Source organism: Homo sapiens, chromosome 7 (genome assembly GCF_000001405.40).
Source record: "Homo sapiens chromosome 7, GRCh38.p14 Primary Assembly".
In the NCBI taxonomy this organism is placed as follows: domain Eukaryota; kingdom Metazoa; phylum Chordata; class Mammalia; order Primates; family Hominidae; genus Homo; species Homo sapiens.
In genome coordinates this window covers 117475831-117497946 of record NC_000007.14, presented here as the reverse complement: position 1 = coordinate 117497946, position 22116 = coordinate 117475831, and the positions used below count along the sequence as shown (strand labels likewise).

The 22116-nt window shown below is 36.3% G+C and overlaps 1 protein-coding gene across 1 annotated transcript in view, besides 45 other annotated features; it reads right to left on the bottom strand.

Annotated features, from left to right (window-relative positions):
• CFTR (CF transmembrane conductance regulator) overlaps positions 1 to 17922 on the bottom strand; it is a 188641-nt gene extending 170719 nt beyond the window's left edge. The window contains exon 1 of the mRNA NM_000492.4: positions 17800 to 17922. Coding sequence (NP_000483.3) covers positions 17800 to 17852 — 53 coding nt within the window. The 5' untranslated portion in view covers positions 17853 to 17922. The remainder of the gene's footprint in view (positions 1 to 17799) is intronic.
• Positions 5544 to 6118: a DNaseI hypersensitive site, noted in NCBI's record as "185 + 12 kb DHS observed in select cell types; the nucleotide coordinates are approximate for this feature". NCBI's record gives the evidence for it as "EXISTENCE:in vivo cleavage assay evidence [ECO:0001075][PMID:8626632, PMID:17848139]".
• Positions 5544 to 8492: a biological region, named in NCBI's record as "CFTR intron 1 enhancer". NCBI's record gives its function as "regulatory_interactions: CFTR | LOC111674463 | LOC111674470 | LOC111674473 | LOC111674475".
• Positions 5822 to 5840: a protein binding site, noted in NCBI's record as "probe that binds Tcf4 in association with beta-catenin". NCBI's record gives the evidence for it as "EXISTENCE:protein binding evidence [ECO:0000024][PMID:17848139]".
• Positions 7252 to 8352: a DNaseI hypersensitive site, noted in NCBI's record as "DHS1 or 181 + 10 kb DHS observed in select cell types; the nucleotide coordinates are approximate for this feature". NCBI's record gives the evidence for it as "EXISTENCE:in vivo cleavage assay evidence [ECO:0001075][PMID:8626632, PMID:10448643, PMID:19449463, PMID:19897727]".
• Positions 7737 to 7912: an enhancer, noted in NCBI's record as "7/8 enhancer fragment used in the reporter constructs". NCBI's record gives its function as "activates a basal CFTR promoter in transfected Caco2 cells, and cooperates with the intron 11 and +15.6 kb CFTR enhancers" and the evidence as "EXISTENCE:reporter gene assay evidence [ECO:0000049][PMID:8626632, PMID:19449463, PMID:19897727]".
• Positions 7737 to 8492: an enhancer, noted in NCBI's record as "BS0.7 or intr1 fragment used in the reporter constructs". NCBI's record gives its function as "activates a basal CFTR promoter in transfected Caco2 cells" and the evidence as "EXISTENCE:reporter gene assay evidence [ECO:0000049][PMID:8626632, PMID:11448937, PMID:20360044, PMID:21895967]".
• Positions 7782 to 7816: a protein binding site, noted in NCBI's record as "FP1 HNF1-binding probe". NCBI's record gives the evidence for it as "EXISTENCE:protein binding evidence [ECO:0000024][PMID:19449463, PMID:23325854]".
• Positions 7797 to 7828: a transcriptional cis regulatory region, noted in NCBI's record as "32 bp core enhancer region deleted in the pGL2B-245/BS0.7delta32 construct". NCBI's record gives its function as "necessary for activity of the BS0.7 CFTR intron 1 enhancer" and the evidence as "EXISTENCE:deletion mutation evidence [ECO:0005510][PMID:11448937]".
• Positions 7799 to 7927: a conserved region, noted in NCBI's record as "conserved_region; 185 + 9.9 kb intron 1 region conserved in human, cow and pig". NCBI's record gives the evidence for it as "COORDINATES:sequence alignment evidence [ECO:0000200][PMID:12782133]".
• Positions 7802 to 7811: a transcriptional cis regulatory region, noted in NCBI's record as "HNF1 motif mutated in the 7/8mut reporter construct". NCBI's record gives its function as "necessary for activity of the 7/8 CFTR intron 1 enhancer" and the evidence as "EXISTENCE:site-directed mutagenesis evidence [ECO:0005528][PMID:19449463]".
• Positions 8314 to 8352: a protein binding site, noted in NCBI's record as "CArG box 4 SRF-binding site". NCBI's record gives the evidence for it as "EXISTENCE:protein binding evidence [ECO:0000024][PMID:16170155]".
• Positions 17853 to 18485: a promoter, noted in NCBI's record as "632 promoter fragment used in the pGL3B632 reporter construct". NCBI's record gives its function as "drives reporter gene expression in transfected 16HBE14o-, Caco2 and Beas2B cells, approximately twice as active as the 245 fragment (787 bp) basal promoter" and the evidence as "EXISTENCE:reporter gene assay evidence [ECO:0000049][PMID:19855085]".
• Positions 17853 to 21876: a biological region, named in NCBI's record as "CFTR promoter region". NCBI's record gives its function as "regulatory_interactions: CFTR | LOC111674464 | LOC111674470 | LOC111674473 | LOC111674475 | LOC111674476 | LOC111674477 | LOC111674478 | LOC111674479".
• Position 17860: a transcriptional cis regulatory region, noted in NCBI's record as "c.-8G>C or rs1800501 polymorphism, where mutation of G to C results in reduced CFTR promoter activity". NCBI's record gives its function as "affects activity of the CFTR 2 kb promoter in Caco2 and 16HBE14o- cells, where the C allele has moderately reduced activity compared to the G allele" and the evidence as "EXISTENCE:site-directed mutagenesis evidence [ECO:0005528][PMID:30296588]".
• Positions 17886 to 19637: a promoter, noted in NCBI's record as "1750 promoter fragment used in the pGL3B1750 reporter construct". NCBI's record gives its function as "drives high-level reporter gene expression in transfected 16HBE14o-, Caco2 and Beas2B cells" and the evidence as "EXISTENCE:reporter gene assay evidence [ECO:0000049][PMID:19855085]".
• Positions 17886 to 19849: a promoter, noted in NCBI's record as "1963 or 2 kb promoter fragment used in the pGL3B1963 reporter construct". NCBI's record gives its function as "drives high-level reporter gene expression in transfected 16HBE14o-, Caco2 and Beas2B cells" and the evidence as "EXISTENCE:reporter gene assay evidence [ECO:0000049][PMID:19855085, PMID:30296588]".
• Positions 17887 to 18673: a promoter, noted in NCBI's record as "787 bp or 245 promoter fragment used in the pGL3B245 or pGL2B 245 reporter constructs". NCBI's record gives its function as "basal promoter that drives reporter gene expression in transfected 16HBE14o-, Caco2 and Beas2B cells" and the evidence as "EXISTENCE:reporter gene assay evidence [ECO:0000049][PMID:8626632, PMID:19855085, PMID:11856314, PMID:19897727, PMID:22671145, PMID:23689137, PMID:24440874]".
• Positions 17900 to 18025: a promoter, noted in NCBI's record as "-102/+24 maximally active core promoter fragment used in the pCF102L reporter construct". NCBI's record gives its function as "drives reporter gene expression in transfected HT-29 cells" and the evidence as "EXISTENCE:reporter gene assay evidence [ECO:0000049][PMID:1709163]".
• Positions 17944 to 18003: a protein binding site, noted in NCBI's record as "-151 to -92 oligonucleotide that binds CCAAT displacement protein/cut homolog (CDP/cut)". NCBI's record gives its function as "represses CFTR promoter activity and is associated with histone deacetylation" and the evidence as "EXISTENCE:protein binding evidence [ECO:0000024][PMID:10075672]".
• Positions 17955 to 17981: an enhancer, noted in NCBI's record as "27 bp cftr(CRE) fragment used in the cftr(CRE)tk-luc reporter construct". NCBI's record gives its function as "activates a basal thymidine kinase promoter in transfected forskolin-stimulated JEG-3 cells" and the evidence as "EXISTENCE:reporter gene assay evidence [ECO:0000049][PMID:8943230]".
• Positions 17955 to 17981: a protein binding site, noted in NCBI's record as "27 bp cftr(CRE) oligonucleotide that binds ATF-2". NCBI's record gives the evidence for it as "EXISTENCE:protein binding evidence [ECO:0000024][PMID:8943230]".
• Positions 17963 to 17991: a protein binding site, noted in NCBI's record as "inverted CCAAT or proximal Y-box oligonucleotide that binds the CBF-NF-Y complex". NCBI's record gives the evidence for it as "EXISTENCE:protein binding evidence [ECO:0000024][PMID:10075672]".
• Positions 17966 to 17991: a protein binding site, noted in NCBI's record as "inverted CCAAT element oligonucleotide that binds C/EBPdelta". NCBI's record gives its function as "mediates induction of CFTR promoter activity by cyclic AMP" and the evidence as "EXISTENCE:protein binding evidence [ECO:0000024][PMID:7499410]".
• Positions 17966 to 17991: a protein binding site, noted in NCBI's record as "inverted CCAAT element or Ybox/CRE oligonucleotide that binds CREB1". NCBI's record gives its function as "mediates induction of CFTR promoter by cyclic AMP" and the evidence as "EXISTENCE:protein binding evidence [ECO:0000024][PMID:7499410, PMID:8943230]".
• Positions 17966 to 17991: a protein binding site, noted in NCBI's record as "inverted CCAAT element oligonucleotide that binds ATF1". NCBI's record gives the evidence for it as "EXISTENCE:protein binding evidence [ECO:0000024][PMID:7499410]".
• Positions 17984 to 18384: a DNaseI hypersensitive site, noted in NCBI's record as "DHS-200 or -200 DHS observed in HT-29 cells; the nucleotide coordinates are approximate for this feature". NCBI's record gives the evidence for it as "EXISTENCE:in vivo cleavage assay evidence [ECO:0001075][PMID:1717947]".
• Positions 18060 to 18100: a protein binding site, noted in NCBI's record as "-94G WT probe that binds Sp1 with higher affinity when the G allele is present at rs73717525". NCBI's record gives its function as "positive regulation of CFTR promoter activity in cooperation with USF2" and the evidence as "EXISTENCE:protein binding evidence [ECO:0000024][PMID:17678620]".
• Positions 18060 to 18100: a protein binding site, noted in NCBI's record as "-94G WT probe that binds USF2 with higher affinity when the G allele is present at rs73717525". NCBI's record gives its function as "positive regulation of CFTR promoter activity in cooperation with Sp1" and the evidence as "EXISTENCE:protein binding evidence [ECO:0000024][PMID:17678620]".
• Positions 18067 to 18105: a protein binding site, noted in NCBI's record as "CFTR-CArG-like element that binds SRF, WT oligonucleotide". NCBI's record gives its function as "important but not sufficient for CFTR promoter activity, and may be functionally antagonized by binding of YY1" and the evidence as "EXISTENCE:protein binding evidence [ECO:0000024][PMID:16170155]".
• Positions 18067 to 18105: a protein binding site, noted in NCBI's record as "102A oligonucleotide that binds YY1 when the A allele is present at rs982968807". NCBI's record gives its function as "antagonizes the positive effect of C/EBPbeta on CFTR promoter activity through competitive DNA binding" and the evidence as "EXISTENCE:protein binding evidence [ECO:0000024][PMID:10652351, PMID:23560079]".
• Positions 18069 to 18108: a protein binding site, noted in NCBI's record as "b3WT C/EBPbeta-binding probe". NCBI's record gives its function as "important for CFTR promoter activity in cooperation with USF2, and is antagonized by YY1 competitive binding" and the evidence as "EXISTENCE:protein binding evidence [ECO:0000024][PMID:23560079]".
• Positions 18104 to 18111: a transcriptional cis regulatory region, noted in NCBI's record as "area of NFR1 (nucleosome-free region 1) element mutated in the NFR1mut reporter construct". NCBI's record gives its function as "important for promoter activity" and the evidence as "EXISTENCE:site-directed mutagenesis evidence [ECO:0005528][PMID:21948798]".
• Positions 18136 to 18171: a nucleotide motif, noted in NCBI's record as "nucleotide_motif; C-PMR1 purine/pyrimidine mirror repeat element that is thought to form a non-B DNA conformation and bind a 27 kD nuclear factor on the purine-rich strand". NCBI's record gives the evidence for it as "COORDINATES:motif similarity evidence [ECO:0000028][PMID:7513081]".
• Positions 18229 to 20171: a silencer, noted in NCBI's record as "-2215 to -242 XbaI/BssHII fragment used in the pBLCAT2 reporter constructs". NCBI's record gives its function as "represses a HSV thymidine kinase promoter in transfected Caco2 cells" and the evidence as "EXISTENCE:reporter gene assay evidence [ECO:0000049][PMID:1722205]".
• Position 18262: a transcriptional cis regulatory region, noted in NCBI's record as "c.-410G>C polymorphism, where mutation of G to C results in reduced CFTR promoter activity". NCBI's record gives its function as "affects activity of the CFTR 2 kb promoter in Caco2 and 16HBE14o- cells, where the C allele has moderately reduced activity compared to the G allele" and the evidence as "EXISTENCE:site-directed mutagenesis evidence [ECO:0005528][PMID:30296588]".
• Positions 18444 to 18461: a nucleotide motif, noted in NCBI's record as "nucleotide_motif; C-PMR2 purine/pyrimidine mirror repeat element that is thought to form a non-B DNA conformation and bind a 27 kD nuclear factor on the purine-rich strand". NCBI's record gives the evidence for it as "COORDINATES:motif similarity evidence [ECO:0000028][PMID:7513081]".
• Position 18664: a transcriptional cis regulatory region, noted in NCBI's record as "c.-812T>G or rs181008242 polymorphism, where mutation of T to G results in reduced CFTR promoter activity". NCBI's record gives its function as "affects activity of the CFTR 2 kb promoter, where the G allele has moderately reduced activity in Caco2 cells and mildly reduced activity in 16HBE14o- cells compared to the T allele" and the evidence as "EXISTENCE:site-directed mutagenesis evidence [ECO:0005528][PMID:30296588]".
• Positions 18684 to 19084: a DNaseI hypersensitive site, noted in NCBI's record as "DHS-900 or -900 DHS observed in HT-29 and T84 cells; the nucleotide coordinates are approximate for this feature". NCBI's record gives the evidence for it as "EXISTENCE:in vivo cleavage assay evidence [ECO:0001075][PMID:1717947, PMID:7688000]".
• Position 18739: a transcriptional cis regulatory region, noted in NCBI's record as "c.-887C>T or rs34465975 polymorphism, where mutation of C to T results in reduced CFTR promoter activity". NCBI's record gives its function as "affects activity of the CFTR 2 kb promoter in Caco2 and 16HBE14o- cells, where the T allele has mildly reduced activity compared to the C allele" and the evidence as "EXISTENCE:site-directed mutagenesis evidence [ECO:0005528][PMID:30296588]".
• Positions 19014 to 19034: a protein binding site, noted in NCBI's record as "-1111 to -1090 oligonucleotide that binds NF-kB (p50 subunit) in complex with RelA (p65 subunit)". NCBI's record gives its function as "mediates up-regulation of the CFTR promoter by interleukin 1 beta in Calu-3 cells" and the evidence as "EXISTENCE:protein binding evidence [ECO:0000024][PMID:11114294]".
• Positions 19384 to 19784: a DNaseI hypersensitive site, noted in NCBI's record as "DHS-1600 or -1600 DHS observed in HT-29 cells; the nucleotide coordinates are approximate for this feature". NCBI's record gives the evidence for it as "EXISTENCE:in vivo cleavage assay evidence [ECO:0001075][PMID:1717947]".
• Positions 20334 to 20372: a protein binding site, noted in NCBI's record as "CArG box 3 SRF-binding site". NCBI's record gives the evidence for it as "EXISTENCE:protein binding evidence [ECO:0000024][PMID:16170155]".
• Positions 20662 to 21876: a DNaseI hypersensitive site, noted in NCBI's record as "DHS-3.4kb or -3.4 kb DHS observed in airway cells; the nucleotide coordinates are approximate for this feature". NCBI's record gives the evidence for it as "EXISTENCE:in vivo cleavage assay evidence [ECO:0001075][PMID:21895967]".
• Positions 20677 to 20715: a protein binding site, noted in NCBI's record as "CArG box 2 SRF-binding site". NCBI's record gives the evidence for it as "EXISTENCE:protein binding evidence [ECO:0000024][PMID:16170155]".
• Positions 20701 to 21723: an enhancer, noted in NCBI's record as "-3.4 kb enhancer fragment used in the reporter constructs". NCBI's record gives its function as "activates a basal CFTR promoter in transfected 16HBE14o- cells, and cooperates with the CFTR -35 kb and intron 23 enhancers" and the evidence as "EXISTENCE:reporter gene assay evidence [ECO:0000049][PMID:21895967]".

Genomic DNA, 22116 nt, shown 5'->3' with positions numbered 1-22116 from the left:
TTTCTTTTTTGCTTCTCTATATTCTCTAATGTTTAACAATAGCATGCATAACTTTGGAAGGAAAGAATTCTTTTTCATTAAAGAAAAGGTATGTGTAATTATAATGCATTAATTGCTATGGGTAACTATTAATGTAAATTTTCTGGCCAAATATGTTCTAACTTCATGATTTTCATATAATGCTCACTATCAATATTAATTTTCTATAAAATCACTTTTTCTTTCTCAACATGGTTGTCTCACACATGGTTTCTTTCTCAACAAGGTAATATTTCAACTTGAAGAATACGAATCCCCAGTCACCTGATGCCTACTACAAATCTGTTATTGAAAAAAACTGAACTAAAGATTTTAAGAAGAAAACACAGCCCTAGCTTGTAACCTTGTCTCTATTATTTCCCAGTGATATCGCCTTGGAAAAAGCTCTGAAGATCTCTCAGCTACAGTTCCTGCTGGAGATAATAACTACCATGACCACTATTCCTGATGTTCATGAGAGCCAAATTCAATGTTGTCTATAAAGCATTATGTCTGTACATTATTACATGCTTCTTCATATCAACTGCTTGGCTTTGGTTTAATTTTCAAAGCACCAGAATTTATTATTGGGATTATAACAATAATGATAGCTAACATTAGTATTCATTACCACAGACTTGCATAATTCTAAATATTTCACATACATTATTTCATCTGATCCCCACAACAATTCAAGAGGTAGGTCTTGGTAATATCTCCAACTTACAGTTGAGAAACTGAGGCTAAGGAAGCTTAATTAGTTAATTTGTCAAGGGCAGAGTCAGAATTTTAAAATTAGGATTGTGACACCAAAGCCTACACATGTATCCAATTTGCCATATTACAACTAATTTTTTAAAGTAGCATACACTTAGATACAACACCAGAAGCACAAACAGCAATAACAAAAAATAAATTGGAAATTATCAAAATTAAATACTTTTGTGCTTCAAAGGACACCATCAAGAAAATGAAAAGAAAATCCACAAACATTAGCAAAAAAAGAAAAAAAGAAAAAGAAAAAAAAAACTCACAATGAAATACCACTTCATGCCCAGTAGGATGGCTGTAATTTTTAAGAGTAGATAATAGTAAGTGTTGCAAATATGTGGAGAAATTGAAACACTCACACAATGGTGGAAGGAATTTAAAATGATGCAGCCACTTTGGAAAACAGTTTGAAAAATCCTCAAAATATTAAACATAAAGTTACTATATGGCCCATCCATTACACTCGTAGGTATATGCCCAAAAGAAAGGAAAATGGATGTCTGCACAAAAACTTGTACACAAATGTTCATAGCACCATTATTTATAATAGACAAGAATTAGGAACAATCGAAATATCTATTAACTGGGGAAAGGATAAATAAAATACATATTCTTACAAGTGGGATATTATTCAACAATAAAAAGAATGATGCAAGCCAGGTGCTGTGGCTCACACCTATAATCCCAGCACTTTAGGATGCTGTGGGAGGAGGACCACTTGAGCCCTGGAGTTTGAGAGCAGCCTAGACAACATAACAAGACCCTGTCTCTAAAGAAAATTATAAATTAGACAGTCATGTGGTGCAAGCCTGTAGTCTCAGCTACTCGGGAGACTGAGGTGGGAGGACCGCTTTCGCCTATGACTTCAAAGCTATAGTGACCCATGATCATGCCACTGCACATTCCAACCTGGGCAACAGAGCAAGGCCCTGTCTCTAAAAAAATAAAAAAGAATGATGCACTGATACACGCTACAACAGGGATGAATCTTTGAAAAAAAATGCTAAGTGAAATAAGCCAGTCACAAAAGAACACTTTGTTCTATTTACATAAAATTTCCAGAACAGGCAAATCTATAGAGATGGAAAGTACATTTGTAGTTGTCTAGGGCGAGCAGGGGGATTTGGAATAAGGAATGACTGCTAATAGGAATGGAGTTTCTTTTTACAGTGATGAAAGTGTTCTAAAATTGGTTATGGTGATAGGCAACTCTTTGAAGATACTAAAAAATCATTGGATTGTATGCTTTAAATGGGTAAGTTGTTTTGAATATGAATTATATCTCAATAAAGCTATTATTAAGAACAACAGTATACAGAAATCAACTGTCAGTGTTAATTTTAGAAAGTTTTACTAAACATTTGATTTTTCACTCCTAGAACTGGTGAAATCAAAATTTTCATTATAGTGACTTTGATACACTAAAGTCTTTCAAATATGTCAATGGCTGGGTGGCTACAGCAAGTGATTTAAGATTTCATGCATATTTCATGAGATCTAAGGACTGGTGACATGCACCATGAGTTGTGTAAATTGTTTGTTTTCTGTCCTCTAGAAGCAAGGAACTTAACTTCTGGGACAACTATGAATTTATGACTTCAGATAAAAGTTGTAAGAGCAATAGTATCGTAAAGAAACCAAGGAATGTGTACCATTGGCATTGAAAGGCCACTTCTAACAGCTGTATCTAATTCACTCACATGACTTGGATTTCAAAGACTCAAGCACTTGAGAGGCAATAATAAGTAATGCTACAAAAAAAATCCCACCCATCTTGAAACATAACAGAGGAAACAAAGCATTGTGATTTATAGTTGATGCCCATCTACTTTAGAGAAGCATCCTCAGAGTGCCTTTCCAGGATTTTGGTTTGATTTTTATTCTATCTGGGAATGAAGCCACTAACAAGAGCCACAAAACTGTAGCTGGAACAACTGGCTAGAAAGAAGAATGATTAACTACCCTATAAATTGCTGCATCCTGTATAAGTTCACATTTAGGAGCTCTTTATTCACAAGACAAGGGATGCCATTGCTCTCTAATTTAGGATTTTTATTTCCATTGGCAATAAAAATATATTTGAAACCAAGAAAATAAGGAAAAGGGGAAATGGATTGGCCTTAAGATTTTATAGTAGAAATGCCACTGGGTTACTGGCTGGCATTTTTAAAGCTTAAAGAAAGAAACTTGTGCAACTGTCAAAACGTCATCACGGTTACTGTTAGACAATCACATTTTAGAGAACAGAAGCAGAGAAACAGTTTTAAGTATGTCCATTCGTAGCTGAGAGGGAAAAAGGAAAACAAGTTCCACCTCTCCTTGGCCTAATATAGGAACAAAATAGAAATCACATGAGTGATATAAGGATATCTCCCACATGATATATTGATTTAACTTTGCTGGTATTTATTTTATAATTATTCCATTTATTTGGTATTTCCTCTCTTTTTCTAGACCTCAAAATCCCTTATTGAGGCTCTTTGTTCACCTAGCTTGTTCAGATACCATCACTAGGACCCAAAGTAAATACTCTCTACTAGGTTTCTCTGTCCTTTGACAGAAATACCCATATTTTTCCGAGCCATCATTGTTATTCTGGAATTAACTCAAGATTTGGAATTAAAGTACTTGATTTTTCTTTGCTAAAGTGTTTATTGAAAGATGGAGGTGACATTTCTCTTTGGGGACATAAATGCTCTGATAAGCTCTGGGTTATAGGAGTCAGGAATCTGCCTGGCATGAACCACTACAGGCAAAGCGCATGCTAGACATCCTTATGACTTTCAACAACCAAATGATGTAATGACCTCTCACTATGTGTACAGAAAAACCACTATTTATTAAATCCTTTCTAACACTAGCTTGCAAGTTACTGCCTTGAATCGACTTTCCCCAAAATTAAAAAAAAAATACTGTGTAATTCCACCTGATATAGTTTGGGGATTTTTGTTTCTTCACTGGTGAAATAGAGACTAGAAGTGACCTCAAAAATGTTCTAAGATGAAGATGATTAAGAATTAATACTCCAAGGATAATACTGAAACTGATGCTGCATCACAATGACAAAGCTGGTGATTTTTAAAATTCAGTTGTGATAAAGTTGGTCTCTAGGATTCTGCCTGAAATCATCTAAACAGATAAAAATGATCAGTCGATTCTGGAATTTTTCTCTTCTGTCTTAATCTTCCCTTCACCTTCATTTGTTTATGTTCTCTGCTCTGTTATACAGGTATGTTATGGCTACACATGATTATTTCTCAGAAGGATTCAAAGAACATCATGGCATTGGATTCAGACTTCCCAGTGGCAGCTGATTTCCCACTTTCAAACTAAACATGGAATTGGGTTCTTGGTGGCATTTTAACCCTTTTTTCTTCCACTGTTATTACTTAACCCTCAAGAAAACAAATTGCTAAGTACTGCAAATTAAAAGGGAAAGTTAGCATCTTCTTTACTTCTCTTTTTGGGGAGCAGTATGTAGACACAATTGTATGACTCAAGATTTAAGTTTCATCCTGTTCTTGAGTTTGAGGACCAATACTAACGCTACTTTCATTTTCTTCAAGCTTTATTATCACTGGGAGGGAGATCAATAGCAAAGCTTGAGAGAGGCAGGATTGGACAGCATCCCCAGATTAACAATCCCGCATTCCCACAGTGAATCCCAGAAGGAAGGAGCAAGACAGAGGCAGAGAACATAGACAACAATTGGCTCAAGGTTTACCAAGGAATTAATAAGACTCTACCTCAAAAGCCTTGCTTTAAATCCCTTTTACTTAATATTTACATCTTTTTTTTCATAAAAGCAACATATACCTAAGTAAAGGTCTGCAAAACACTTAAGTTGCTATTTTTTCCAATAGCAAAACATACAGTAATAGATAATTGATTCATTAACCAATCCTAATAAGCAATTTAAGAATTCAAAATGTTCATCTTTGCAATCAGGTCATTAAAAGCACAAATGATGATAATTTGGAGAAAATAATTTTTATAGGCATTTCAGAATTTTTTTGACCTCAAAATGTTATAATCTCTTGCTTCCATTCACACTCTAGGAAAATGAACTTTAAAGGAAACGCTGTGCCAGATTCTCTTCTTTTTGAACTCTGCAGGAGCTCCCGCTGAATGAAACTATTGATTTATTAGGTGGCTCTTAATTTTTAAAAAGATTATCCTATTACCATCACTGGGCATGGCATTCTTTGGTTCAACCACATCACACTGAAAAAAAAAATGGTAACTTCCTTAAAATAAAACCTAACCTCTATTTCCAAGAAACCTCAAATGCATTGAAATAGTCACACATAAATTATGTATGTGTGAGCCTCTCTGAAGTCTAGATTAATTCCCCATGGTGTGCTCTATTCTATCCTGTACTTCTTCTACCTGAGCCTTTACCACAAAATGTGTATTTACTTGTCTGCCAACGCCCCATGTTTCCAAGCACCCTAGACTGTAAGGTCCACAAGAAGAAACACCTTATAGATCTTGTGTTTTTTTTAAACTACTGTATCCCCTGTGCCCAGCATGGAACATGGCACATAACTGAGATTACAATTTGTTTGCTAATTTCTTTCCCTCAGAAGACTAACTTCTTGAGGACAAGGCAGGTGTAATATTTATCTTTTATCTCCATCATGTTGTTCAGTGCCTGGAACAGAGCAGAAATTGAACAAATTAATGGGTCAATCAATTAATTACACAAACATGATATGTTTGGAGCCCACATGATGACACTGATTGCAAATAGGTATTGCTTAGCTGTTACTCTTGGTCAAATATATTAAAAGCCAAAAAAAAAAGGTCAAAACATTTTTCAATTCTATAGTAAATGCAATGCAAATGTGAGGGTGCCTATACTTGTTCAGGGACAATTCTTTAATAATGTTTCTTCTCTTTTTCTGAGTCCTAAAGATGATCATCCTAAAACTTCCAGCCAACATTATTTAATTGTCCTCAATAAAATGTTTTTATATGCAACCTTCTCCATTATCAAAATATTCTTCCTAAGTTTGGCCTTCATCCTATTTTTAGTGGACATGTACCAAAATTTCATAAATGGAAAGTCATTCTTCAGTCCTCTCAAGAGCAAAAGGTCCTTTTTCTTATGACCTTCTTGGATTGTTCCTGTATCATATCACTTAACATCCTCTGCAATGTCTCCATGCTATTTATGGACCACTATACATGAGGTATATATGGCTTTCAATAGGTTTCATAGATTAACTCCCTACATGTATATACTTTATGGTCTCAAATTACTTCCATATCGCATTCTGCTCCTAAAGAGTGTTATCAATTGTTATAGGTTGAATTGTGTTTCCCCAAAAAAAGGTATGTTTGAGTCCTAACCCCCGGTACCTAAGGATGTGACCTTATTTAGAGATAGGATCTTTACAGAGGTAATAACATTCCAATGAGGTCACTAAAGTAGACCCTAATCCAATATGACTGGTGTCCTTATATTAATAGTAAAGAAGTTTGGACACAGAGACAGGCTCACAGGGAGAATGCCATGTGAAGATGAAAACAGAGATCAGGGTGATGCCTCTGTAAGTCAAGGAATGCCAAGGATTTCTAGCAAACCACCAGAAGGTAGGGGAAAGGCATGGAATAGACTCTTCCTCATGGCCCTTAGAAGAAAAACCTGCCAACACCTTGATCTTGTACTTCTAGTCTTCAAAACCATAAGATAATAAATTCCTGTTATTTAAGCCACCAAATTTGTGGTATTTTGTTATGGTAGCCCTAGCAAACTAATACGCTGGCCCTAATCAACAGAGAAATTCCACGTTAGGATGATGCACACAAGGGGACAAACAAACAAAGGTGATACTTTGAGTATTTAAGATACAGTTATGCACTGCATGACATTTCAGTCTACAGCAGACTGCATATACAATGGTGGTCCCATGAGATCACTACATAGTATTTTTAGTGCACCTTTTCTGTGTTTAGACATGTTCCGATATGCAAATACCACTGTGTCACAACTGCCTGCAGTATTCAGTATAGTAACAAGCCGTACAGGTTTGTAGCCTAGAAGCAAAAGACTATGTCATATTGCCTAGGTGTGTAGTAGGCTATACGACATCTAGGCTTGTGTAGGTATACTCTATAGTATTCTCACAACGATAAAATTGCCTAAGGACATATTACCCAGAACGCATTCCCATTGTTAACTGACATATGCCTGTAAATTTAAAAGCTAGAGATAAAAGTCAATGGCAAAGAAAGCCGACAGATGTGCAATTGGGAAGGGGCATTTGTAGGAGTGTGACCTTCATAATTCAGAGAAAGCACTGGGTCTAATTCATAGGAAAGGAGGGATAAATTTAGAGAAGAGAGGTACTTTCTCAGAGCCCAGACAGAAAGATGAAAAGGTGCTAATTATAATAATCCTGTTGTTGCTGATAACAGTGCTTACCATTTATTAAAGACGCCCTATGTCTGGCATTATTTGCTATCACTTAATGCATAGAAAGTGCTTACAGAGAGTGATGGTTAATTTTATGTGTCAACTGGGTGGGTGTTTTTGGATGAGATTAACATTTAAATCAGTAAACTTTGGTTAAAGCAGATTGCCCTCACTAATAAAGGTGAACTTCATCCAATCGGTTGAAGGCCTGTATAGAACAAAAAGGCTGGCCTCCCAGAGAAGGACGAAATTCCCCAACAGACTGCCTTCAGACTCAAACTGGAACATTGACTCTCCTGGGTTTCCTGCCAGCTGACCCATACTGCAGATTTTGGACTTGTTAGCCATCATAATCATGTAAGTCAATTCCTTATAATAAATTGTGTGTGTGTGTGTGTGTGTGTGTGTGTGTGTGTGTGTGTGTATCATTGGTTCTACTTCTCTGGAGAACCTTGACTAATATGCAGAGTAAATACTCAATGAATTTTTGATATCATAATAATACTGTGCCATGTAAAGATAAGGATAACTCATTGTACTGACGAGAGTAGCTGAGGTTCAGAGAGATTAAGTAAATTGCCTAAGATCACATTGTTAATAAGTGACAGAGTTAGGATTCCAGCCAGGTCTGTCTGATTCCAAAGTACATGCTTCTTCCATCATATATTGCTACCTGACAGTTGACAATGAAGATAAAGATGAAGTAGAATATGAGATCATTTTCTAAGGATACAAATGGCTGGAATGGGGACACAAGGGAAGATCAGGAACAACCAAGATGGGGGAAGAATTAAGTCAGTGGTTTTCACACTATGAGCCCCAATACCTAGTGTTCTCTAGAAATATTTCAGTGAATTCACCAACTTCTGATTTGAAATGTATGTATTTTAAAATATTATTTTATAGACAGGAACCAAGAAAATCACACATTCTCAAATGTAGGACTATATGTTAATTTTAGCACACTAGATTGATCCGAACATGATCCTGGGCTGTCAGGCTTGTTTAGTATTCACTATGTAGGAAAGCTTCTGCTGACATCTCCTTGCACATATTTAAACCTGTTATGATCTGTTATTGGTTATCTCTGCACTGCATTAGTGAGCATGTCACTACACCATATGTGGGCCAAGCTCAGTTAACAGCCCATCATATCTTTGACATACCTGTTTGCATGAGGTTTCATCACAGCATAACAGAGTTGTACAACACTCAGGGAACAATAATAAGCCACATATGATATTATCATGGTTTTATAATACTTTATCATGCGTACTTGCTTTAAGGTGATATTGGTTATAGAATTTACCATCAATTTAACAATAGCCTTTCCAAAAAGAAGCACTACATTAACTATACACAGTTTTTAGAAATTAACAATATTACATACTTATTCATGCAATCACCTACCACTTTCTTCTTCAGCATCGTAATTAAAGTTTTAGTCTAAGCGTTCTTCATATTCAGAGCAAAAATATTCTTCTGAGTCACTCTCAGCCTTTCAGAGCTATGAATAGAGTTACAGTGACAAACTGCATTCATAACACCTTCACCTGTAGGACAGGCAGTATAATTTCAAGGCATAATAAAGTGCTGAGCTTAGGCGACTTCTACTTTAATTACATTGCTTAGTATGTCAGACAAACTTCAGACTAAATATTACCTGTTTTTTTTTCAAAACTACATCACAAAGTAATTTATCCCAAGAAATTTCAAGCAACAAACTAAATTTATTTAAGAGTCAACCTTGTGGGATGCAACCAATGCAAATAATTCAGCTGAGGTCACAGGAGTATATATACCTTTATGTATTGCTAAGTTCCCATATTACAACTTATTCCTGGGCCTTGTGGCTGACAAGTTTCTTTTGACATCAATTATAAAAGGCATCTCGATTTCAGAAACATAACACTGTGAAAAACACAACCATGTAGGATCAAGAAAATTACATATAAATGTTATACAAAATCACTGTAGCCTTTACTTTAGAGCACTAGGTTAACTGTTTCTTTGTATTTATGGGAGAGTTATTATCTTTTATTGTCACTGCTATTTGTATACACTGCGGTCCCATGGAAAATTTTATTTGAAAATTGATTACAGTATTGTTTTTTAAAAAAATTGTGAAAAACATTGCCCTGGGAAAATGCAAGACACAAGATAGATAAGATAGAGCCTTTGCCTTGAAGGACACATTAAAAGATGCATATTCCAAAAAAAGAGGCAATGAAATGGTCAACAGAGACTTATAAGTCAAAAATTATTCTGGACAATAATCTAATAACTGTTAAGCTACCATTTTCTTCTTCTGAAAAGTCCATTTTGCATGTCTAAATGTTTCACTTACTTTTAAAATTATTCAGTTACCGAAAAAAAGTTATAGAAGACTTAAAATTTTTTCTAGATTTTATTTTAAACTAAGAAAGACTAAAAACTGTATCTTTTAAAGCATATTGCAATAGAATTTAAATAAAGAATATTTTGCAACATGTAAAAGTTATATGAAATTCAAATTTTAATGTTCATAATAAAGTTTAATTGAAACACAGCCATGCTTATTTGTTTGCATATTGTCTATTGCAGAGACTTATGTGGCCCACAAAGCTGAAAATATTTACTATCTAGCCCTTTACACAAAAAAGTATAGCAATGGTCTTTGGTCGAAAAAGTGATGCTTTTGTGTTGGTATTGTTGTTTTAATTTCTAGAGTTTATAGAGATGTTTAAAATAAATAAAACGTACAAAGGGAGCCCCCTATATAGTTTCTCCACCTTGCTTCCTCTAGAACTGTGGTTGCTAATCCCAGCCAACATAGGCTTCATTTTCTTGTCACACCCATAACCAATGCTGGACTCTAAGGTTTAGCCCTTGAATCACCTCTTAATACAGCTGTCAGTACCCCTGGGATTCTGCCTATTATGCTTAATTTTCACACATTTGTCTGACTGGTATCAAATGAAATTCTAGAGTCCCTTTTTGAAATTATTAAGCCTTCACTAGGCATTTGGGAGTAGATGTGAAGTCAGGTAGGAGGTAGTTGCACCTCTGTAGTCCATGCTAAGAAAGAGAACTCTGCATATTTAACAAAGCTCAAAGTTTTAACATAAAACAAGGATACATAACCTTTTCAAAAGTAATGAAAACCTTCTTTTAACACACACAGAAACCTCATCATAGTAGGTGAGCTCCTATTTTTATTCAATCACTGGAGACAATATCTGAAGTCCCAAGCAGATTTTCATACCACATTGAATTTCTATGATCTCTCATATGTTGTGTCCCGTGATGTGAAAAGCACTGCCTAAAGGAGTGAAGTTATCAGGAGGTTCAGACATCAGTTAGCAGGTTATATAGGAGAGTTCTAAGTATAATTTCTAAGTAGAATTTAACCAGTACTGTCCCTAGAACTCAGCTGCTTCTTCCTAACACTCTCAGGTCACACTATGCCACAATAAGGCCAAACAAGTGGGCACTCTACATATTTATAAAACTGTCACCTCAGACATCTTATATCTCTTACCTAAGACTAAGCTCTAAATCACTTTAATACATTTTCAAATAACCATATTACCTAACCCTGAGCCATATACATCATTTCCGTTTCTGGTTTTGAGAGAAGTAGAGTCACATAGGTCTGCACTCCTGCTCCATGCCTTCTTCTCCGATTAAATTTTCTCATTCAATAAGCAGCACCACTGTCCCCTCTATTATCCAAATCAACAAATATAGATGTTATCCTTAACTCTTCTCTTTCCTTCACCTTCAACTACTAATTGATTACCAAACCAGTTGATTTTACCTCCTAAATGTCTTTCAAATCTCTCTCTCTCTCTCTCTCTCCCCGCCCCCTCCCCCCCACCCCACCCACCTCCACCATGGCCACTCTTTCAGCTCATCTTTTCTTTTACAAAACTGCAACAGTATATGAACTGATTATGTCCCTCTCCTGTTTAAAAGCCATGGCTTTTCACTTCCAGTATGATAAAGCCCAAACAAAGCCTACAAAGCCTACAAAGCCCCCTTACGATCTGGCCCCTGCTAGAGTTTCCAGACCCATCTCCCACAAATCTCTGTCACATATTTTATGTTCCCGTCATAGGGAACTTCTCAGGATATTTTGAAGGTGCCATGCTTACTTATCCTGTCAGTCCTCCACACTACCTGTTTAAATTTTTCCTAGCCCATCCCTACCCTCTTTGGATAATTCTAATTGAATAACCTCCTTTAGGTGTGAATACAAAAGACACTTCCCCCAGCAAGCCTTCCTTGACCAGCCTTAGACTGGGTTAAGTGCCCCAGTTGAGTACTTCAATGAAGCCCTCGAGAAAGCTGGGTTTCAGATAATTTGTTCCATAAAGGCAGCAACAATTTCCTTCTTGGCCACCTCTACCTTCTTAACGTCTCACATAGAATACAGAATATGAATGAGGTCATCTTCCAGGTTACCCAGAATCATGACCTACAAAGGAAGTACTGCTGTATCTCAGCTCCTTGGAGCAAGCTATGGGAGAGTTTTCTGGCTATATCCAGGCATAGCTTCAGGCCTGAGTAGTCCTAATAATCCTACGGACCTAGCAAAAATCTTCATTTCCTTACCCCATGAGCAAGAAATTAGCAAGCATGCTATCCTACAAAGGCTAAGGCAGAAGGGACACAAGAAAACTTCGATGGAATAATTGTTCTAAGCATTAAAAATCTGCCCACAGTCCCACTTGCTTTGACCCCTTTTTATCAAAATGATGCCAGCACTGCAGGACTGTTGAATGTCATCGATCTACAATAGACACAGGTCTCTAGGGTTGATCACCATGAACTCATTAACATCACAAAAAAATCTTTATTAAATTGTTCCACGGAAGAGTCTTGAAATGGTCTGAATATCATACTAAACAAATTAGAAAAGGCCCTGACATCCAGAGCTTTACAATTTGGAATCATAATTTATGTCAAAAGATAATAATAAGTTAACAGAGCTGCACAGAAAAATAGCAAAGTTGACAAGCCTTGCAACTTGAATACAGCTGTGAAAAACTCTGAAAAAAGATTTTTCAGAGCTCTGTAGGAATGTAATTCTCTACATCAAGCAATCTAAGAGTAAATTAAATTTTTACAAGCTTCTTGCTAAAAGAAGCCTAAGCTCTTTGCTGACACAATGCCCTACAGTAAAGCCGTAAAGCCACTCTGTAATGCTAATTTCACACTGAAACAACTATGTGGTAAATTGATTCTAGAGCTCTGAAGAGAACCAACAGAAATAGCAATGTTTTCCTCCATGATAATGCACTTGACATATTTGTAAATTAATCTTTCTACAAGATCTCCAAACAACTTGATCTTTATCATAGTCTGTTTTCCCCTTTTGACCTCATTGCATCTCAGAGGTTTTTCTCCAGGAAGATGCCCTACACAGATGCCTCAGGATCAAAATTGCCAAAATTGCTGCTGAGTCAGAGATGTTTTTAACGTTTTGACAACCAACACATAACTGCATGCTAAATAGTTAACACCCTTCCTGATGGTTTTGCAATACTATACTTATATTGTAGCTCTATCACACTGAAATTATAGGCTCTTGTGAAATGACACTAGCAATAATAATGCATTTTATAGCAGTACTCACTCAAGGACCTTTAAACAAGTGTTAACATTTATGTATTGAATATTATTACACTAAGTTCCACTCCCTCCCATAACACATAAATGGAAAACTGGAAAACCGTGATTTCCCTAGTGTAACAGTTAGCTCTGAGGGATATTTTGACTGTCACATCAAACATAAAATATTGATGAAGTAGCTAAGAAAAATAGATTCCACTTCTCTCTTTAGCAAGGAATTAAATATTAAAACTACACTATTCCTTATAAGTATATAAGAATATTACTTGAATCAAGTGATTAATAATTTAACTAGCATATAAAAAACTATAGGAATAAACTTCAAAACAAAGGAGAACTTTTTAAAATTTGCAAAATTAAAAGAAACAATTATATAATTATATATACAAAGATATTTTACATATACAAAGATATTTTATATATAAATAAATGTAATTATAATTTTTGTCATATATCAGGTACAGGAGGTACTTTTAGAACTCTGAGAGTTAAGCTAATCAAAATTAATACAAAATTAACACAGATTCCCAGCTGAAAAATCTCAACTGTGTAATAACAAAACATGGTCAGCAAAAGGATAAATAGAAAAGACTATTGAGGGACTGGTGTAGAAAGTCAACATTTGTTAGTGTTCAGACAACATTGTTCAAGACAGAAGGGCTCCTATCCCAGAGGTGGGCCCCTCCAATTCCTATAGGATGTAAAGCCAAGAGAGAATATGGAAACCCTGGGCTGTCCTCATTGATGGCATTTGCCCATGGACTGACTAAATGGAGTCATGGTAATCGGGAATGCTTGGCAGTTGTATATCACAATATAATTGTTCAACACATATTGGCCTTTGTTTTATGCATCTATTTTATTTTGATTTGGATAACCTAAGGTTTTTCTGATAGACAAACCTGAGATAATGTGTATGTATTGATCAGACCTAGACTAAACCCTTGTTTGGGTAGCCAACTGGTCTTCCTTGGCAACACTTTTACAAACACCCTCAACAAACTGCAAAAATATTTATGGCTTAGCCATAATTTTAGCTTTCCTCACAAATTGCAAACATGTAAATAAAATGTAAATACAAAATCATCATGATGAATTTTTAATAGTGTATCATAATTTATATAACCAAATAAGTGTGGTCCCATTCAAAATGGTCATCTTTATAAATCTTTCATAGTATAATTTTAATTATACTTCCATTGCTCAAAGCACTTATATTTCTCTTCATTAAGCACTGTCTTTAGGCTGACAGGGTGAGGTGGCTTACGCCTGTAATCCCAGCACTTTGGGAGACTGAGTGGGAGGATAACTTGAGGCCAGGAGCTCCAAGAGCAGCCTGGGCAACATAGTGAGATACTGTCTCTATATAACTTAAAAAAAAAAAAAGTTAGCCAGGCATGGTGGTACACACCTGTACACCTGAAGACCCAGCTACTCGTGAGGCAAGATGGAAGGCTCACTTGAGCCCAGGAGGTGGAGGTTGCAGTGAGTTATGATTGTGTCACTGCACTCTAGCCTGGGCAACAGAGTGAGACTCTGTCTTTTAAAAACAAACAAACAAAAGAATTGTCTTTAAAGTTTGCAATGCATTTTTTTTTAATGAAAACACCTAAAATTAGGTAGCACTTGGCTGTTAACAAAGGAAATTATGATGAAAAATCTTTATATTTTCAGAGTGAATTTGATTTTGTGATACAGTCAAAAGTCACTTGGAAGCAAGTCCAAGAGACCAGTCTGGGTAATATAATTTTTAATCTAAAGCAAGCTATGAATATAAAACAATAACAATAAAATAATGTGGCTAATATATACTTATGAGAAGAAATTTATGTATTATTTAGAAAGGCAATTTCATAATAAGAGACCCAAAATTATTTTGATCAAAGGCAAATGTTTAGAATAGGAGTGTGGTTTTTATTAGATAGCTATTTTGAACCACCATACCTATTCTGATATATAAATTCAGGTGTATTTGTTTGTTTTAAAATCTCTCATTACTTTGTGTTTAATAATTACAAAAGTATCTCAAATTATCTTACTGTTAAACTCGAGACTTAGACTATGTGATTCTTTGCTGAATTTCCACCTTAGATCCTAACAATATTTTACTCTTTGGTCTTACTTGAGACTAACTGCAGAGTTTACAGGAGACCCCACATCCCTTGTAAGAAATCAGTGGCACTGTATACTTGGATTCTGTGGGGTTCCCACAGTTCCTCAGTATAGACCTAGACATAGCACAGATATCACGACGAAAATTCAAGTTATGTCATGTGACACACGGTTTGATATACACTCTTACAACTAAACGAAATATGAAAAATTCAGGGCATGAGAGAAGAGACAGAGAGGAACAAACTGAATAACTACCTTAAAAGTTGTGAGAAAATGTAAATTTAAAAAATTTTCCCAAATTAAATAGCACAATCTCTGTTGGTGACCATTTATAAATCAATCCCACTTGTATATGAATTATAAATTATATGCTAATATATCACTTCTAGTTTAAAAATAGCTTCCTATTTCATAAATGTTATTTTCATAAAAGTTTCAATTTAATGTACTTGTTTGCTCTGATAGTCATGAACTACCTGAATTTTTCATGGTGAAATTCTCTCTTAGATTATGTTTATTTTATATATATATATGGATTATGATAGTTCAGATGTTCTTCAAATTTTATACTTGATGTGAAATCCACACAAAATTAAGAAAGTAAGAAATAACTTAGATTTTTTTTCCAAACTTTTTGGTTTTCCAATGACAAAACCTAGACATATAAAGAGATATTCAATACAATCTATAACTCATACCATAATAATTTTACTCTTTTATGACTCTCAAACTGAAGGGATCCTATTCAGAAAGTTAAATTCTAAGGCATTTAACAACATACAATAGAAACATGTGACGTGTTTCCTGTATATCTGGTAAGGCCATGTGAAACACAATTTTTCATAAATTAAATTCTCATACAGGCCCACTCATTGCATATCCAGATTGAGAGTCACAAAATTATACTCAAAGATGAATTGAGCATCTTATATTAACAAGGTGCATGTACTGTGATGAATGTGAAAATATGGTAATCCATAATAATAGCAGTTAACATTAGGCTAACTTTTCACATTCATTTTCTCAAGGGATTAACCCCTATGACAGTCTCCAAATTTTAAAGGTCAAGTCACACACAGAGATGTTAAGGGACCTGCCTCAGGCAACAGAGCTACTAAACAGTAGATGTAGGATCTGAATCAAAATAATCTGACTCCAAAGCCTACCACTTTGAAAACTAAGCAATACTGCCTAACTTAATGCAGAAAATATGTTTTTTACACTTTTAGAATTGCAGTCCAGAAGGCCAGAAGGAAGTTTGTAATCATTGGTATTTTAGGTGATTGTCAGTTCCTATAAATAGTAGGAACTTAACTTTTAAAAACATACCTATTCTTAAAGCACCTTATGAAATATTTTGGAGAACAGAAATGAGTATGCTCTTAACACACTTAGCAGCCTTTGTAATACATTTTCTTTGCAAACCAGCCTGATAGCATTTTTTAACCTATATTAAATGTGTCAGGTGATTTGTAAAAAGAAAATTATATAAAAACCCACTTTGACAGATCAATAGTAAGCTATTTTAAAGTTCATTAGTATTTAGAACTATCCATGAAATATTCATTCTTCTGAAAACTGCATTTTTAGACTGGTTGGCATTTAGGTTCCTCAAAGTTCTCTGCTAAAAAAAGTCTATAATTTATGCCAATTAACATTTTGACTTTATAAGGACTAGGAAAACAGATCAATAGATAAGCCGATTTTATAGGTGGAGTAACAAAAGGTGGATAACATCAACACAAAAAGATAATTCCAAAGAGTAAAGTCCTTCTCTCTCATCCACAGGGAGGAGCTCTCCTTCAAGGGCCAACAGTCTCTCCTTAGCACCGGAGTTCCAGGATTAACTGCACATGCAGAGAACTAAACATAAGAGAGATGTGAAAGCTAAATTCCTTCCCCCCTACACACATATATGAGCTATTTATAACATATTTGACTTTTTTGATACCTCAGTATGCTTATTCATTGGGTAATTATGTGTCAAGTAATGTCCCAAGAGAGAGCAGTACCTATTCATTCATTCACACCAGTATAATAACAGGAACAAAGTAGATGCAATATCCAAAGAACACTTCAAATATGAAGTGCTACATCTAACAACACTTTGCCTAAGATTCCGAACTTAGATGCTATTTTAAAAAATCTCATTAAAGTTTGCAAGCTTCTGTGGCTCATCACATTAGGCTATGAATACAATTTATTAAATGTCAGTTGGATATAACTTCGGTATCTATTCCTATGGCTTTTAAAATTTATAGCTTGTGAAGTAACTTTTTTCAAAATAAATATTTCAACAAATTTGCTTTCAATTTTTGAAGAATCATTTACCTGTGACAAATACTAGATATATCCAGTCTCATAACAATAAATACTTTAAGCATATATTTTCTACCTACCCCAAAATTTTTGTTGGCTGAATTCAGTCAAGAAATGTTTTCTGAGCACTTACTATATGCAGGCATGGCACCTGTATGTGCCAAGAAGACAATCAAGTGTCCAAGGCATGAAGGGGGAAAACCAATAAACCATACTTAGGTACTTATTAACAAGTATTTTTAGTTTCTTAGAAAAATGAAATAAAACAAGTGCATAGTAGCGTACTTGAGTCTTGAGATTCTAACTTTTCAGTTGCAAGTAGATGTGGCTCTCTATTCAATCAGCTTCAGTTCATTCTTCCATCTCTTCTTAATGCTTTCTGTTTTATTCTACAATACCCACATTTTCTTTCAAAACAATGAATGATAGCGCATCTTTTTAAAAACTGCTTATTCCTTTACCCCAAACCCAACCCATACACACGCCCTCCTCTTTCGTGGGCACGTGTCTTTCCGAAGCTCGGTTGGCCACCTTCTCACCTGAAAAAAAGTTTGGAGACAACGCTGGCCTTTTCCAGAGGCGACCTCTGCATGGTCTCTCGGGCGCTGGGGTCCCTGCTAGGGCCGTCTGGGCTCAAGCTCCTAATGCCAAAGACCTACTACTCTGGGTGCCTGCCGCTCAACCCTTTTTCTCTGACCTGCTGTGATGTCATTTGCTTCCAATTCCCCCCACCCACCCCTACTCCGCACACCACCCCTTCCTTTTGCTCTTTCCCCCGCCTTCACTGCCCAGGTTAAAAGCCGAGTGCTGCCTGGTCCGGCCCCAAATTTGCTCTAGCGGCTTTCTCCACCCACTACGCACCCCCGCCAGCACCCCTCCCGCTCCTTCCTCCTCTCCTCCTTCGCTCCCTCGCCGCCCCGCACCTCCCTTTCCCGATTCTGACTCCCAGCCTCCCTCCCTCGCGCGCGCTCCTTCCAGGTCCGTGTCCTTACCGCCCAGCACCAGGCCCATCCCGCAGGTGGGCGACAGTCGCGGCCTCTCTTTAGGTCCAGTTGGCAACGCTGGAGGACAGAAGAAGCCACCGGCGGGAGAACCGGCTCCCCGGAGAGCTTCCTAGACCCTCCTTCGCGTCAGGGTCCGCCAGACCCAGGACCCGCTGCCACCAGCTTCCCCGGAGCCTGCCTTCCTCCTCCTCCTCCTTTTCCCGATGATCCTAGTCGGGTTCCTGTTACGTTTGCAAGGTGCATTTTGAAAAGGGAAGGAAAATGTGCCTTTCGTATATCAAAATACAGCCTTAGAGAGCCGAAAAGTTCCGCGGCAGTGTGGGTCTGATGCATTTACCTTAGCGCTTCCTTTGCGTGTCGGAGAAAAGAACCAAGCTTTATTAGTTTCAGGTTTAGGTGAGTGAACTCCAAGGGTGGCACAGAAATCTTAGGACACGTACTGAAAGAGAAAAAAAAATCTGCAAGGAGGTAAGAGGAGATAATGCTTTGCGTAATTACCGGCCCAGGATGTGTTCCTTGTCTATCCTTTTTAGCCCAGTGCGCATTTTTAAGGAAGGCTTTGGAGTGTTTTAGCGATAATGACAAGGAACAATGTAAACTAACCCGCCCTCCTATAGATTTCCTAGTCTCAGTCAGCAAAACATCTTGACTAATCCACCGAAAGGAAGCCAAGCAGTCTTTGAAGCGAAGGTAATGTGTTAACTTTGACCTGACTCAGAGAAACGCCATCTTCAACTCTCTGAGGGGCATCTGGGCATTCCCAGGCGTAGGCGCCTTCCTTCTGAGAATTTTGTGTAGGATTGCCTGTGTCTCTGACGGTTTTTAAAGAGCCAACCCTCTAATCCCTGAACCCTACTGTGTAAAAGCAAGCATACATTGTGTTTGAATTGAAAAATTCAAAGGAAAGTAAAAATTTTGGCCTGATTACTTTATTGCCGACACATCTAAGGCAAGGGTCTTGTGAATTATCTTGTTGTTGACTTGTGGTCACCCAAATACAGTACAAATAAAATGTGCATTTCATGATGGAAAGACAAGAACCTGTGTTGAAAATAAAGAATGTGTTCAGCAGGTTTTCATAGCTCTGCTTTGCCCTTCCGTGGGCAAAAGCATACCTTTTTTTCTTGATATTGTAAAGTAAGATTTAGAAACATTTAATCTTTATTATCCTAAATTTGAATAGTAGAGAAAAGAGCAAAGAGATAAACCACATTGCATTAAGTTAGACACCAGGAAAGAATTTCAGCATTTTTAACTCACCATCCACTCTGTTGTTTGAAATCCTCTACCTGTGTTTTCATCTCTCCATTATGACAAAAAATTGTGAGACTCTGTCTTCACTATTGACTTTTCCCAGACATGTGATTGAACTCACCACATCCACTTCCCCATTCCCAATCTGTTGTTTGGTTTATAACTGTTAGTGTGGCCCATCAAATATAATACATGCATTTTGAAATAAATTAATAATTAGTTCTTCTTTGTTATCAACAAGCAAGTGAAAATAAAGGGATTAAGAATTAAGCTCCAAAGAGGATCATAGAAGCTGACCAAGGAATATGGCTGGAGGAGACTCCAAATATTTTTCAGCCAATCTCCTTCTGGAAAGAGTGAAACAGTTACTTGAGTTCTTACTATTTGCCAGACATTATTCATATAACCCTTATAACAACCATGTAAATAGGTGTTATTATCTTCAGTTTTCAGTTAAGCAAACAAGAAAAGTTAAGTAAATGCCTATAATGATAGAGCTAAGATTCAAACCTGAGTCTAGTTCTAAACCATTACTCCTATCACTGTGTAATACTGCTTCTAATCAAATCATCCCTCATGTATTTATATAATGTCACTTATATATCAACATAGTCTTTTTCCTCACATTAGTTTCATGAAATAATAACTTCTAGACCTGTTTAACAATGAAACAGGAAAGCAGAAATCTACAAACCAAGTAGCCAAACTAAGTAGCCACTGGAGTTACATACTTTTAATGAATTACATTTAACTATAACATTGCATTTTAAGCATGTACACACACATGTACATAGGAAGACCACAGATTTTTATCATAAAACATTACAGCCCAAATTTGTTTTGGTAGAAATAAAACTTTACCATTATTCAGAGCTTTAACACAGTTAGCAAGCATGTCCAGATGCACTAATTGCGACATGATATTCAGGATTTGCATCTAGGTACATACATAATGTGGGAATGAGGACTTATCCACCAGAAAATTGTTCAAATGTGGCTTAAGGTCATGATTGAAATCCTAAACGTATCTCTGAAATGTCAGGAACAGGAAAGAGATTAATGGGCCAGGGTGATAGTAGGTGAAACAGTGAAGCTCTTCTTTCATGCTGCTCAATGATAGCTCATATCATTTTATAACAATTTTATAATACCTTATGGTTGTTGGTCACTTACCATATATGCCAATTATTATGACAAATACACAGCCTAATTTGCCTTTTTTAATCTTTACAACACCTTCATGGGACAGGAAACTTCTTCATTCACTATATATTACAGATAATGAACCTGAGGAAAAACAAGTTTCATGTTTTCCCAAGCAAGTTGCACAATTAATAATAAAAGAGGAAACTGGGATTTAAACCTAAACAATCTGTGGCCAGAGCCCAAGCATTTAATGACTGACTACACATACTTCACATACTTCCCCTATAGAATTTCCTAATGCAAGAACTGACCTTAAATATAGAAGATTGGGTGGCCATTTCTGTGGCATCATTTTAAAGGTATATTAAAAAGAAGAGCGAGGATGAGTAGGAGAAAAGGAAGCCAACATTTATTTAATACCTACTTTGTGTTCAGCAATGTGCTGGGTGCTTCTTACAAATGATCTCAATATATGAAAGATTATAAGTGATAACCTTCTCGTCAAAGATTAGTCACCCTGCCAGGTTTCACCATTAGAAATCATGAGAGTGAACTTTCACAATACTTTACTTATCCATCATGTTCAACTTAATTTGAGAGTGTTTCTCAGATTCTCTCCTGAGTAGACTTTAATAGTGATAAGTGGGTAGCAATCACAAGTACACTAAAACCTGAAAATGTGGAAGAAGAAAAGAAATAGTCACTCCTATCGGGAAGAAAAGCTCGTTAAAAAAAGACAAGGTCTCTTCAGCTTCATATATGTAGTCTGGTTGTGCTTATAAGTTTATCTAAGCTAGAAGGGTAAGAACAGCCACAGCTCTTCAACAGTGGGCCACAGTGATTACCTAGGATGTAAACACACATTACAGTCTTACAAAGATGTTTCAGGACTTGAAAGAGGTGTCCTGGGACATGACTAGGCCAGATTCTAGTTTACTTTTACTGCTTCCAAAATAATGTTTGGTCTGACAATTCTGTTTATAAACACACACGCACACCAACTTCTATTTACATACATTCATAACCCCTCTTCCCTACAACCTCCTTGGAGGCACGAATTGCATCTTATGTTTTCCTTTGAATTCACCCCTTATTTTGTAATACAGTATATACACTCAAACAACCGTTTTCTCTTGGGGTTACTGACCTAATAATTGAATGTCATTCTAAAGGGGATATTTGAAGATGCTCAAAAGATGAATGTTTACTATTAATTTTTCACCAAGCAAGAGCTTGGGTGCTAAAGCAGATGTACAGAATAAGGCAGTATCTCCATCCTTCAAAATTTAGAATCCACTGATGGACATCAACATTCTCTGAACATGACAGAGTATAGTGGAAATAGCTTGTGCTAAAGCAATAAAGAACTAGGTTTTCAATCCTGGCACCACACTTAGCTCTGTGACCTTAAGTAAGCTACTTAACTTTTCTGTCTTTTGTTTCCTTGCCTGA